Source organism: Homo sapiens, chromosome 10 (genome assembly GCF_000001405.40).
Source record: "Homo sapiens chromosome 10, GRCh38.p14 Primary Assembly".
NCBI classification, from domain to species: Eukaryota; Metazoa; Chordata; class Mammalia; order Primates; family Hominidae; genus Homo; species Homo sapiens.
The window spans coordinates 125,153,366-125,166,618 of record NC_000010.11 but is presented as its reverse complement, the minus strand read 5'-3'; the positions used below and the strand labels follow the sequence as shown (position 1 = coordinate 125,166,618).

Sequence of the window (13,253 nt, the reverse complement as noted above, 5' to 3'; positions counted from 1 at the left end):
CCGATTTCAGGAGCTTTTGACCATAAAGCTAATTCTGGTTGGAGCCGAATCGTTTCCTATGATAATGGAGCTCTTTCCTCCGTGTGCAGCAGCTCCCGGGAGGCTGCCATTCCATCTCTGTCCCATGCTTGGTCATTCTCAGCAGTAATCCCATCGTGGCCTCACTACTGGCCCCACTGAGTCAGTAGCCTGCATGACTCCAGCCTTAGTTACCATTGCTGATGTGTCTGAGGTCTGCATGTCACGGGCCTGCCCTGCTGCAGCATAGGAAAATTAACATTCCATGGGTGGACTCAGCACTGTACATGCAAGGCGGTGGCCTAGTGAGAGGCCAGGGGACTTCTTAGACTCATGTTGGTTCCTATGTGACTCCATGGGCTGATAATGAAGACTGCTTGGCTTTACCACTTTGTGTTCTATGGTGCAAGGATGCGGCCTTTTTAATCTAAATGAATGTAATCAGAACCAGCTATACAGTTTGTGAGGCCCGGTGCAAAACGAAGATGCAAAGCCCCTTGTTCAAAATTATTAAGTCCGGGCCCAGTGGCTCACGCCTGCAATCTCAACACATTGGGAGGCCGAGGTAGGAGGATCACTTGAGGCCAGGAGTTCAAGAGCAGCCTGGGCAACATAGCAAGACCTCATCTCTACAAAAAATTAAAAATTTCATAAAACATTTTTAAGATGGTGACAGCAGAGCCAAGTTCTCCCTTTTGAGCATAGGGTCACATGCCCGGGAAGCCAGGCTCAGTACCTAATCTTTCTGGGAGTTTCACCTTTCCCACAGATAACTGTGGAATCTTAATCCCTACCTCACAGTATTATGAGGCTTAAATGAGATAATACTTGAGCTAATGCAGTTTCCCTGGGATGCTCTCTCCTTGGAGATAGTGACCAGCTGGGGTTAATCTCTGTACCCAGGGTCCAGCCTGGGCCAGGAACGGCACAGACCTTCCTTCAATGTTTGTTGAGTAGTAGTTGCGTGGTATGTTTGCTGATTTCTTCTAGATGTTACAATACAGATTCACTTGTGTCTGTAGATCAACATGTTTGCTTTTGTTTTCCTAGGACTGTAGTCACTGTTTTTCAAAGGACTCAGGCAGTGAGAGTGTGTGTGTGTGTGTGTGTGTGTGTGTATTTAATTAAAAAATAAAAGTGATGGGCTTAAACCCAAATGCCAATTCAATCCTGAAACTGACAGCTTCAACCACTCCAGTTTTGCACCCCTTACTGCGTATGTCGGGCATGAGCACAGAGTTTTGCTCTGTCACCAGGTTGGAGTGCAGTGGCGTGATCTTGTCTCACTGCAGCCTCCGCCTCCCTGGTTCAAGCGATTCTGCTGCCTCAGCCTCCCGAGTAGCTGGGATTACAGGCATGCACCACCATGCCCAGCTAATTTTTGTATTTTTTTAGTAGAGATGGGGTTTCACCATGTTGGCCAGGATGGTCTCAATCTCCTGACCTCGTGATCCACCCACCTCTGTCTCCCAAAGTGCTGGGATTACAGGCGTGAGCCACCTTGCCCGGCCGAGCCTAGGATTTTCAATGCATAGTTGGAAAGGGCCATGGCATCTATAAAAGCAATATGTATTCACTGATTAGAATTAATTATGAATCACATAGTGATTATATTATAGCCAAAGAGAGCACTGTTATTCTATAAAACATTGCAACAAAATTCCCACATCCACTGAGGACAGCAACTGAGAGCTTCAGATAATTGCGGTTCTGAAGTGAGCTGAACCCTGAATAACAGAGATAGGTGAGTAACAATACAGTTAAGTCCAACTCCCAGTAACTCTCGCTGCACAGACCCTTGAAATACTCAAGTGCACACAACTAGTCCATTTTATTGCACAAAACAGTTCCGATAAAAGGACCCACCATTATCTAGGGCCACTATCTTTTTTTTCTACAACCATTGGTTCCTGGAAATGAAATAGGAAAGATAGGAAGCTGAGAAATAAGAACCTCGGTTAGAGGTCTTTGATTGTAGCGGGGGAGGCAGGCTGTGATGCAGCCGCAGGCCGGTCCCACGGGCCTTTTTCAGCCCCTGGGTTCCTACAGACATCAGAAGTGCTCCCGAGGAGGTATAAAGTAGGGAAGGAATTATGCCATCCTGTTTAAAGGCTGCCAGACGGAAGAAAATAAGTGCCTTACAAACTCAACGCTCCACACTGGGGCTGTGGATCTCTCTTTTCTTTCACTACTTTTTTTTTTTTTTTTTGATGGAGTTTCACTCTTGTTGCCCAGGCTGGAGTGCAATGGCGCGATCTTGGCTCACTGCAACCTCCGCCTCCCAGGTTCAAGCGATTCTCCTACCTCAGCCTCCCCAGTAGCTGGAAATACAGGCACGTGCACCACGCCTGGCTAATTTTTAGTATTTTTAGTTTCACCGTGTTGACCAGGCTGGTCTCAAACTCCCGACCTCAGGTGATCTGCCCACCTTGGCCTCCCAAAGTGTTGGGATTACAGGCATGAGCCACTGTGCCAGTCCAAGGGTTCCCATTTCTCCACATCCTCCTCAATACACGTTTTTTTCTCTTTTGTTGATAAAAGACATCCCGGTGGACATGAAGTAGTAACTTATCGTGGTTTTGATTTGCATGTCTCTAATGACCAGTGAGGCCAACCATCTTTTCATGTGCTTACTGGCCGTTGGCCATTTGTCTACCTTCCTTGGAGAAATGCCTATTGAGTCTTTGGCCATTTTTGAATTGGGTTTTTTGTTTGCAACATCTTAAAAAAAATAGTATGAAATAATTCACATGTTGGGGGCAAATGAGCTCCATATTTTAAAATGCAGGTAAAGTGAAGTGAGAAATACTTTTCAGCTCTCAGGATGCCTTGCTTTTAATGTCTTCAAAACAAATAATATATTAATAATACTTTCTCGGCCGGGCACAGTGGCTCACGCCGGTAATCCCAGCACTTTGGGAGGCCAAGGCAGGCGGATCACAAGGTCAGGAGATAGAGACCATCCTGGCTAACACGGTGAAACCCTGTCTGTACTAAAAATACAAAAAAAAAAATTAGCCGGGCATGGTGGCGGGCGCCTGTAGTCCCAGCTACTTGGGAGGCCGAGGCAGGAGAATGGCTTGAACCCGGGGGGCGAAGCTTGCAGTGAGCAGAGATCGCGCCACTGCACGCCAGCCGGTGACAGACTGAGACTCCGTCTCAATAATAATAATAATAATTATACTTTCTCTTTTTTTTTTCTTGAGACGGAGTTTCGCTCTGTCGCCCAGGCTGGAATGCAGTGGTGCAATCTTGGCTCACTGCAACCTCCACCTCCCTGGTTCAAGCGATTCTGCTGCCTCAGCCTCCCGAGTAGCTGGGATTACAGGCATGCGCCACCAGGCCTAGCTAATTTTTGTATTTTTTTTTTTTTAGTAGAGACGGGGTTTCACCATGTTGGCCAGGATGGTCTTGATCTCCTGACTTCGTGTTCTGCCCCGCCTTGGCCTCCCAAAGTGCTGGGATAACAGGCGTGAGCCACCGTGCCCGGCCAAGAACATGTTAGTAATACTTTCTAAGTCAGAATTCAAATTTATAGAACACGTGAAAGTGAAGGAGTGATATGGAAAATCAGGCTTTTTGTGGTTTCTTCCTGAGAAAAGAAGACCACTCAGAACCAAAGACTTCTGTGAAATAAGGAAGCAGAAAATCTTTATTTGTAGTTCTTATAGTTTATGCCTAAGAAACTCCGAAGAACAGGTACTGGTAACCCGGTAGCCTGGCGGTGGCCGCGGTTTGTTTACAGCCAAAAACTAGCTGAGGCGCCATGCCCTTGAGGCAAAACTGCTGAAGAGAGAAGCACCCTGAAGATCAGTTTGTGGAGATCCAGGGTTGCCAGAAGACGAGACAACCGTGATTGCATGTGCGGAGGTTCCTCGATGGAAGCGCAGCCCGGCGCGCCCCTCAGCTGGCCTGGCCAGGCCCTATGAAGGTCACGCGAAAACCCTGCTGCGGGCTTCTTAGCGACCGCATTACGTGGACTAGCGGGCAAGAAAAGCCTGGTCGGCGCTGCCCTCACAGGTAGGCGGTCTTCAATCACGTTTTAAAATCTTGTTGAGTGATTAAGCAATCTTCGATAGTCCCGGCCCCTCCACTGCAGGCCGCTCAGGCCGCAACGCACCTGGTGCGCTTTGGCAAACAAGCCCCGCGGCGGGCTGGGGCAGGATTTAAGAAATGTTTAATGAAGACTGGGAGGCCTGGAGCAACGCTCTTTGGGATGCAGAAAAGGGTCGTGCAGCTCGGTGGCCTCTCCTCCGGCCCCCTGGCCCTGGCTGTAAGTTTCCTCGGCTCTGCAGGGCGCGGGGCACTCAGGGATGGAGGAGACCACACCGCGCGGCTGGGTTCGCGGAATGGCGGTCCCTGCGGCCTCCAAAGGCGGGACCTCAGACCCCTCCCACTCCTTTCCTGCTCGACATCTCAATCCAGCTCCTAATATCTCAATAGGGTTTTTAAACAAATCGATCCTAAGGGCTCAGTTCAGCCCACCCAGGGATTCTTGGAGGACGCACGCCGAACTCAGGGTAGTGAGAAGAGTTTGGGGGGCCCTGGGGCGCAGGGAGAAGACCCCACACTCCACGGCCACCAGCTCCCTTCCGGAGACGGCGCTCGGACGTCGCGGGTCACGGGCGGGGAATTTAGCCCAGGTGCTCGTTGGGCCGCGAGCGGCCGCTGGGCCTGGATTCCCAGGCTCGCTGTGCAGACTCCAACCTTGAGACGTCAGGACGGCGTGGGCTCCGGGCCGCCGCGCAAGCCCAGGACCCCGAGTCGCGGGCCCCCACGCCGCAGCGCGCCTCCCTCCTCGAGACCCGGGGCTCCGACCCAACACAGGGCTTCTCAAATGCCCCGGCGAGATCCAGGCAGCAAGAGGGAACCTTTTTTTTTTTTTTCAATGTGTAAGAATGTTTTGCTTCTTTTAGGGCACAGCACTGCTGCAACTTGCAGCACAGAGGGCCCTTCCCTGCGCACCCACAGCGGTCGCCGCCTCTCCGGCACGGTCTCCCGGATCTGGATTTGGGGAGCGCAAGTGCCCCCTGTGGCCGGCCCGCGCCTGACCCCGCGGGCCTGAGAAGGCAGAAGCGGCCGGTGCGGGGCACCAGGAGGAAGTTGGAGCCCGGGGGCCGGGAAGGGGGCTGGTTGGCGCCGCTGGCTGGGCGGGGCCCCATGGGACCGGGGCCACCCGGGGCTCGCGTTCCCCCACGTGGCCGGCTGCCCGGTACCCCACGTGGAAGGGGCGGAGGAGGATGAAGGGCCAGGGGAGCAGCGGACCCCGAGCCACCGCGACAGGACCTCGGCCCCTGCCACCGAGGCCCCCGCGCCTCCCGAGGGCCTCCCGGGCGGGGCCGGGCTAGGGAGTGCCCGCCGCGCCCGGCCCCTGGCCCTCCCGCCCGCCGCGCTTGTGTGCACTTTCGCGGAGCCACTAATCCCCCGAGAGAGCCGATTTGTAGTGAGGAGTATCTGAAGGGGGCGAGGCCGGCCCATGTGGGGTTGTGTCATTGGTTTGCAAAAAGAGACCCCGCCTTTGCCCCCCCCCCCCAAAAACAGGAGCGAGGAGTGAGCGAGCGGCGACCCTCACCTCGCCTCCCGCCTAGCTCCTGCGCAGCCAGCGGGTACCGGGAGCTGCGGCCAGCGCCGCTTCTTTCCTTTCCTTTTCTCTCCGTTTTCCTTCTCCTTCCCCGGAGGAGAAAACAAATAAAGAAGAGCAAATAGCCGGGAGGCGCTCGGCATCCAGGACGTTCCCTCCCCCGATCCAAGTTGGAATTAGCATCCTCTCGGGGGTGAGCGCGGCGCGGGGCGGGCCCGGGCCGGGGACCCCCAGCGCAGCCCCCTCTCGGCGGGCGGGAGGGCGCGGGGCCGGGACGCGGGGGGAATTGGGAACCGGGTGGGCGGAGGAAGGGGGTGGGGTGGGTGGGGAAGTAGGAAGAGGCTCGGCGGCGAGGGGAGGAGGTGGAAGGGAAGGGAGGGGTAGGGTGGGGAGGGGAGGGGAGCGGAGGGAGGGTGGGGAGGGCGGGAGGGGGAGGGGCGGGGAGCTGGAGAGATTAAGTTTTTGTGTGTGTGTCCCTGTGTGCGTGTGTCATTTTAAGGTGGCTCGGGAGCGGCCCGGAGGAGCCGGCGGCGGCCCGAGGAGCGAGGGACCGAACCGGGAGCCATGCCGCGCTGAGGGGGGGCCGCACAGCCGCCGCCACCGCCACCGCCGCCGGGTGGGGTGGGAGGGGCGGGAGACGCCGCCGCCGCCGCCTCCAGGGTGGGCGCCTTTCGCCGTGGACGCCGACCGTCCGGGACGAGGTAAGGGGGGCCCCGGGGGAGGGCTGGGGCCGCCGCCGCCCCCGCCTCACCTGCGGCCGCGGGCTGGGGGCGCCGCGCCCGCGCCTCACTGCGCCACTCAGGGAGGAGGAGGAGGAGGAGGAAGAGGGCGAAGGACGCGGAGCCGGCATCCGAGGACATCTTTGGTCCGTGCCCCCGGCCTCGTGTCCCCCCTCGGCGCCCGGGGGTGGACGCTGGCTCGGGGGTCCCCGCCCGCCCCCGCCACCGATTGCGCCCGCTGGCCGCCGTTTGCGCCAGGATTTTTGTTGTTGTGATGAGAGTTGATGAATGCGAAGTAGGCGGTCACCTTCCTTCCCATCAGGGTTGAAAAAAAAAAAAAAAGAAACCCCGAGCGCGGCGGCGTCCGGAGGGCAGCGGCGGCGGCGGCGGCGGCGTCTCGGCGACGGTTCCCTGGGCGCCCCCGGCTCCTGCTCCCTGAGCCCGGTGGGTGCGCGCCCGGGGGCCGCCGGCGACCCAGGCCGAGCGCGCGACGCGCCGCGGGGACAATACGGCCGGATCTCCGGGGAACAGGAGTCCGAGCGCGCCGGGGTGCGGCGGGCCTTGCGCCTACGAGGCGAGGGTGGGGGGGGCGCGGAGAAGAGGGGTTCCGTGGGGAAGTCGGGGCGTGAGCGGCTCTCGGTCCCCAGGGGCGCTGCCCCTGCCGGCGGGGGATCCCGCGCGGCTCCCCGGGAGCGCAAGTGAAAGACGGGAAAGGAGGCGAAGTGGAACCCTTTTGTTTTGCCGGCCCCGCATTGTTGGCTCCTCCGGGCAGCCGGGCCACATCTGCTGCCGCTGCCGCCGCCGCCACTGCCGCGCGGGGCTCGGCCCGCCAAAGTCGCGGCGGGGCGGGGGGCCTGGGCGGGCCGGGCGGCGGGCGCGGGCGGGGGCCGGGCGGGCCGGGCATTTCCTCTGCCCGGCCGCGCTCCCGCGGGCACCACTTCCTCCTCGCCCGCCGCCGCCGGGAGCCCGGCCCGCCCGCCTCCCCCACCTTCCCCGCCCGGGCCGCACTTTTCGGGTGGGGCGAATCAAAAAGAAAAAGTTTAGCAGGAGGGGCTGGCTAGGGCGCGCCCCGGGCGGCAGGGACCCGGTGCGGCGCAGGGACAGCCGGGCCGCCGCGGTTCCTCCTCCTCCCAGCCCTCCGCGGCGCCGGACGGCCCCGCGCGGCCGAGGGGAAGCGCCTTTCTTTCTCTCCCTCGCGCTGCCCCCAGCGCCCCGGGCGAGTTGGGCAGAGGCGCGCGGGAGCCGGGGCGTGCCTGGGCCTTTCTCCCGCGGGAGGCCCAGCGGCGTGGCGGGTCGCCTGCAGCCCACGCCGCGCCCTGGGGCTCGGAGGCCGCGGGCCCAAGAGCTCAGCTCGGTCACCGCGGGCCGCGCCGAGACACACACGCGCGCACACACTCCCTCCCGTGGCTCGCTTTCCGCCGGCGACGACGGTCGCGGACACGGAGTGAGCGTGTGCGCGCGAGTGTTTGTGGTTGTCCCCCCTCCCCCCGCCCGGTACTTTTTCCGGAGGCGGCCCAAGCGGCAGTTGGCTGCAGAGGACCCCACGTTTAGGATTTTATAGGGAAGAGGAGGAATTTTTCGTAGAAATCCCCGCTCTGCGTGCTCGTGGTGGAGGCTGCTGGCAATGGCCTACGTCGTCATACCGGGCTTCCTTGCCCTGTCCGGGGTAAACAATCCTTCTGTGTATTTACCCCCTTTTTTCTTTAAAGATTGGAGATCGGGTTAAGTTCTTAGAGAGTCTGATGCGAGTGGCTGGAAGGATAGACAAGAGAATTCTATTCTATAAATATGCATTGGGAATTTAAAATGCTAAACGCCTTATTTGCAATTCTGTTGGATATTCTAGAGACTGGTATATTTTTATCTGACATGGATAATTTTGAGGGGACGTTATATTTTGGGGAAGTTTACAAAGTGATTCTTTCTGCCTTTCTAACTTGGGCGAAATATATCGACTCATACCACCCTTTCAAAAAAGATAGCTTTCTCTACTAGGTGTTTGGGTTCGAAGACAGTTTAAAAATTACCTCGTGTTCAGTACCTAAGATTGCTGTTTTGCCTCGAGGGTTTTCCAAGTAGAAGTGGGTAGTTTTCATGTACTTTGAGAATTCTGAGGTTTTTAACCCCCCCCTTTTTTTTTAAATATAAATCTTTTCTATTTTGAAGTAATGAGACTTTAAAGGATCTTGTTTTTGTAATCACTTGATTTCAAAGGATACTTCTTACAGCAATTATAAAGTAATAGTCAAAATGCTAATTAGACATTTTCAGTCATAGCTGCTTTAATGTTGAAACAGAATTTTTTTCTTTAGCAGAGACTGTATCGTAGAGTTGAAACGCTAAATATTCTTTTGTCTGGCATCAGATCTCTGAACTGCTCTGACATTCTCCTGAAAAACCCCTAGTGCCCTTTTTATTGCCCCCAAAAGAAAAGTTAATGAGATGGTAGATTTCAAGCAAAAAAACAGGCCCTCTTTCTTGCAAAATATGCTTACAGTTGCCATTGAAGTTGGATGTTAGCCGTGAATGCACTTGCCTTTAATGAAACCAGTTTAATCGTTCACACTTGATCAAGTATAACATGAGCAAACAAAGGAAATAAGCCAGCATATTTCTGTAGAGTGTAAGTGTTGATGTTGGGTCACCCCCTCCCCCTACCCTGCCCCCCTGTAAAAGGGAGAGAGGGTTGAAGGCAAAGGGAATTTATGGCGCTGATTGGTTTTTTGTGCCCCAGGGGTAGGGGACCCCAGTTACATCCCTGTGGAAAGCAGTTATTAGAGGGAATTAAAAGATCTTGGGTTTGGAGCTTGTTTTGAACCTGACTAGGTGGTTTGGGTTTAATTCTTTTTCCTGTTCAGAAAGATAAGGTAAAGAATACCGACTCCCCCCCGCTCTTTTTTTTTTTTTAACCCCCACCTGACAACCCCCTCTCTAATTGTACCTTAATAAGAGTCTGCAGGTTGAATGCAGAACCCTGTGAGTTATTTACGGTTTCGCCTGGGAGCTTTGAAACTGACCCTTGAATGGGTGTTCTCCTGCGGGGAGGGGCAGGGTGAATTACCTTTTCTTAACTGATTTTAAAAAGCCTCATTGTCCCTAAAAATCATTTCCTTGCACGAGTTGCAATTTATGTGTGGAACTGAATCATCAATTCCGTGAAGAGAAAGATATTCGTAAAGTACATCTCTCTAAAGTTAAGAAAGTAAGAACGTTTGGCTAGTTAAAAACAAACACTACTGCCATTGTAAAAAACACGCCAGTGACATACTTGGTGAGATATTTTGGCCTTTTGAGAGTCGGGGCACACCTGTTCCTGTCCCTGCCAAGTTGTGTGTGCTTTCCCTGCCATTGTTAATCTGGTCGTGTACACAAGATGAAACGGTAAAACTTGCTATCTGTATAATTATTAACTAGTTTGTCAGTTACCCTTTCAGAGAATAATCAATAACTTCAGTCTTAACTTTTAAAACTCCAGAAATTTTACTTTTTAAGTCTGGAAAATGTTTCAAAGAGAGATTAAATGAAACAAACAAACAGCAACAACAAACAACAAAACCAGAAAATCAACCTACAACTTTTTAGTTTCTGAGTAGCCAGCTACAAGGCAAAGAAATGATGAATATATATAGTATGTACTGAACAAGCAGTGCACTGGATTTTAAAATGATATTTTTATTGTTACCATTGCTGTTAAAATACAAACAGCTCACACTATTTGAAATCCTTGAGATTCACGGATTGAAAAAAAACCGAAAAGGACACCTCTGAGTGAGGGAGTAGCCCTGCTGAGATCTAGCACCAGAATGCCATTTGCCAACAGTTCACTAACATCATGAATCATTTTTGAAAGCAAAGTTATACCCTTTGCACTTAACGCTTTCCCTAAATGGAAAAAATTTAAAGAGTTTACAGCAATGGTAGAATGGCAGCCCCAGTTGTCATTTTTTTACCACTGTCATTTCCATAGAGAGGGGCTGTCATCATAATGTATGTGCATGCAGCCTGGGTCCCTCTGTTAATCTATCAGGGAAAAGCAGCAGCCCTAGTGTCCTGTGGCCCTGAATCAGGCCACAAATATATATTCATACAGCACATGGTTGGGAAGGGAAATTTATCAGTTGGGCAGGGCACAGCTCAGGTAATATTTCCACTTTGGGATGGTAGGTCTGTTACACAGGGTGGAACATATTTTTGTAGTAACTAAAAAATGGGAGGGCAGTGTGTCTGTCCCTGGAAAAAGAAGTATTTGTACTTAATGGAAGTGACCCATGTGGTGAAATCTCGGGGTGTCTTTTCCCCAGCAATCTTTCTATGAATTGCTAGGGGAGGAATGCTTGTGTGAACTTACCCTGCTGAAAACTTTTAGTGGGCACATGAAATGCTGGAATGGATACACTTTTAGAGACTGTGCGGCCTGGCAGATATCAGTTTTCTCCCTTACAGCTGGTAAGCATGTCTTAATTTACGCTGCTGCAAGTTAAAGTTACAGCACTCCTGGAAAGAAGGGAAAATGCAAGGCTTCTCCTCCCCACCTCATCTTTTGAAGTTAATTTTCATTCAAGTCTGTGTTTGATGGAATATGTATCAAAGACTTATGAAAGAGTTTTTTTTTTTTTAATCCTATCTTGGGGTTTGGAAAATTATATTTAATAATTGCTAAAAACTTAAGAACCATTTTAAAGGTGTTCAGTGGCCCTTTTGATCATGATTTAATGGAGAGTATCCAAAAGCCATCAGTGTGACTCTAATGATATTCACAAATTAATGTTTGGGCATAATCTGGAGTTTGCTTTTAGCTATCATTATTAATGTTTAAAGCCTAAATTATGGCTGCACTTGGGCATTCAGAACTTCGCCTGTGAAAAGAAGGGCTTTGCACATTGTGTAAAAAAAAAAAGGGGGGATTCACAAATGAATACAGAATGTACAATAGGGAGAGAGCCAGGCCATTGTTTGTGTGGAATGTTGACCATGGGAGCCAAGGGCTAGTTTCGCCTTCATTCTTCTGACTGCTGGAGAACACAGAAACTTCAGGAGCTGTGGACGGGATGGGAACCAGGGGCACATTCATCCGTCTTTGCCGGGCATGGAGATTTGGCCTGCCCCCTTTCCAGAGTTTTTCTTAGAAGGTGGTCTTTTCTGGACTGCTAAGGAACGTCGTGTGCTTTCTCTTCTCAGTAATCTGCTTTTTTGAGGAACGATTTTAACGGCAGATAGTAAGAGTTCCTCAAGGAAAGTAAACAGACCTTTTCTACCCCCTCGAAATGTGATTTTAGGAAATGATATTCAACTTCAGAAAGGAGGCATCTTAAGTCACAGGAGGAAGTTGTGTTTATTTTTACTCCTCTCCTGACTTTAAAGTAGTTTTTAATCTGTTGGTAGCATTAGGGAGAATGCAGCTAAAATAAGTTTTTGCTGGATGTTCATGTTTTGCGTAGCTGCTGCCATTTCGGAAAAAGCTCCTCCCCCATTCACAAAGCCCTTCTCCTTCCACGTGGGAGCCGAGGTCCCAAAGTGGAACCAACTCTGTAGCTTAAGGGAGGTGCATTCCTGGCCCCTCACTTTCTAACCCTCACCTTAAGTGGAATATGTAGATAATATGTAGATCATTAACCATTGTTGGTGTCTGAAGCCTGTTCAGTTTTTTTAGCAACGACACTCGGTGAGAACCAGTTGTAGTTTGCATGTGTATATGCCTAGTCCCTCCCTCAGTGAATGTTTTAGAAAGTGATCTGCTTTAGCTGTTTACCTAACTAAATTTAACAGATGGTTGCCTAGAGTTGGCTTAATATTCACAAAAATTGTGATGAAATGGTTGGGATCTTATGAATGGGACAAGTGATGATTTTGTTTCTATAGAGAATTGTGACTTTTGTCCTAGGTAATAATAGAGACTTCGTTTTTCCCAAAGATCGGTTGGTGTTTAAAGGATGGGAACCCTGAATAGCTGCTGTTGTCTGCCCCTGATCCTGGTGGTGGCCAGCCTTGCCTTTGGTTTTGTTGCCTTCTGTGAGTCCAGAAAAGCCCTGGAGGCAGGGGTGAGGGGGGAGAGGGAGGGCTGGGCTTTTCATCCGTGGGGTTCTAAAAATCCTTCTCATTTATAAAATACAAAAATACTTACCTTCCATTGTATTGCTGATTTGTGCTTCCTCCAAAGCTCTCCTCTGATCAGCAGAAATGTGCTTCTTGCATTAAAACAAATCCTTAATTATGACTAAAAGAAACTGTCAGCTGCCTTAAAGATTGTCTGGAAATAGTGGCAATATTTCTGTGTCTCATTCCAGCCCACGTTGTGGCAGAAGCCTGGAAGGGCCACGTTAAAGGATGTGTCACAGAGACAGTGTGTGTAGGTCTTCCTGCAGCACAAGCAAGCTCAGGGCTTGTAAAGTCCAGCTTATCGTGGCTGTGCTCCAGCCATGCCTGAAATCTGGCCTCCAGCAATCTGTCCCGTCCCAGGACAAACAAAAACTTTATTATGGAGTCATGGAACCTGAGGAAGTTTCTCTGGAAGGAACCGAAGACCTAGACCGTGGAGGGAGATCAACTCCTCTGGCCTAATGGGGCTTTTCTTTTTCCAAGATGGAATTTAAAAATCTCATCTATAAAATGAGGCTAGCAAAGAATCATTTTATGGTGTAAGTGGCCAGAATCTAACCTGGAAGTGATAGTATTGTACCTGCCGCAGGTGTGTGTGTGGCAGCGGGAGGGTGGAGAGGGGAAATGAGAGGAGAAGAGTTTGGAGGGGAAAACAGAGCATTCGAGGTTTCTCTGCTGGAGGGGGTGAAAGGCCAGGAGTTTGTGCACCTTTCCTTTTAAATGAGCTCTAGCTGTGAGTTTATTATTTTGCTGATGGATGGTCTTTCGTGCAGTCTAGAAGTGCAAACACAGTCGGCTTATCCGCTGCTTGTTCAGGTCCAGGGAGACCAAGGGAACGG

At 51.8% G+C, this 13,253-nt stretch overlaps 1 protein-coding gene across 21 annotated transcripts in view, besides 1 other annotated feature; it reads left to right on the top strand.

Annotated features, from left to right (window-relative positions):
* The window catches only part of CTBP2 (C-terminal binding protein 2), a 178,147-nt gene continuing 169,049 nt past the window's right edge, over positions 4,156 to 13,253 (top strand). For 9 of the 21 annotated variants that reach the window (NM_001321013.2, XM_011539358.3, NM_001290215.3 and 6 more), the window contains exon 1: positions 7,842 to 7,984. The gene's annotated coding sequence lies outside the window, so the exon portion shown is untranslated. Of the gene's footprint in view, positions 4,292 to 5,588; positions 5,793 to 6,055; positions 6,301 to 6,661; positions 6,763 to 7,841; positions 7,985 to 13,253 lie in introns of those variants that run through there. The other 12 variants (XM_047424679.1, XM_047424677.1, NM_001329.4 and 9 more) reach the window with 4 other exon arrangements.
* Positions 4,676 to 5,285: an enhancer, noted in NCBI's record as "H3K27ac hESC enhancer chr10:126849903-126850512 (GRCh37/hg19 assembly coordinates)". NCBI's record gives its function as "activates a minimal SCP1, AML or CMV promoter by ChIP-STARR-seq in primed H9 embryonic stem cells {active_cell/tissue: H9 hESC(primed)}" and the evidence as "EXISTENCE:reporter gene assay evidence [ECO:0000049][PMID:30033119]".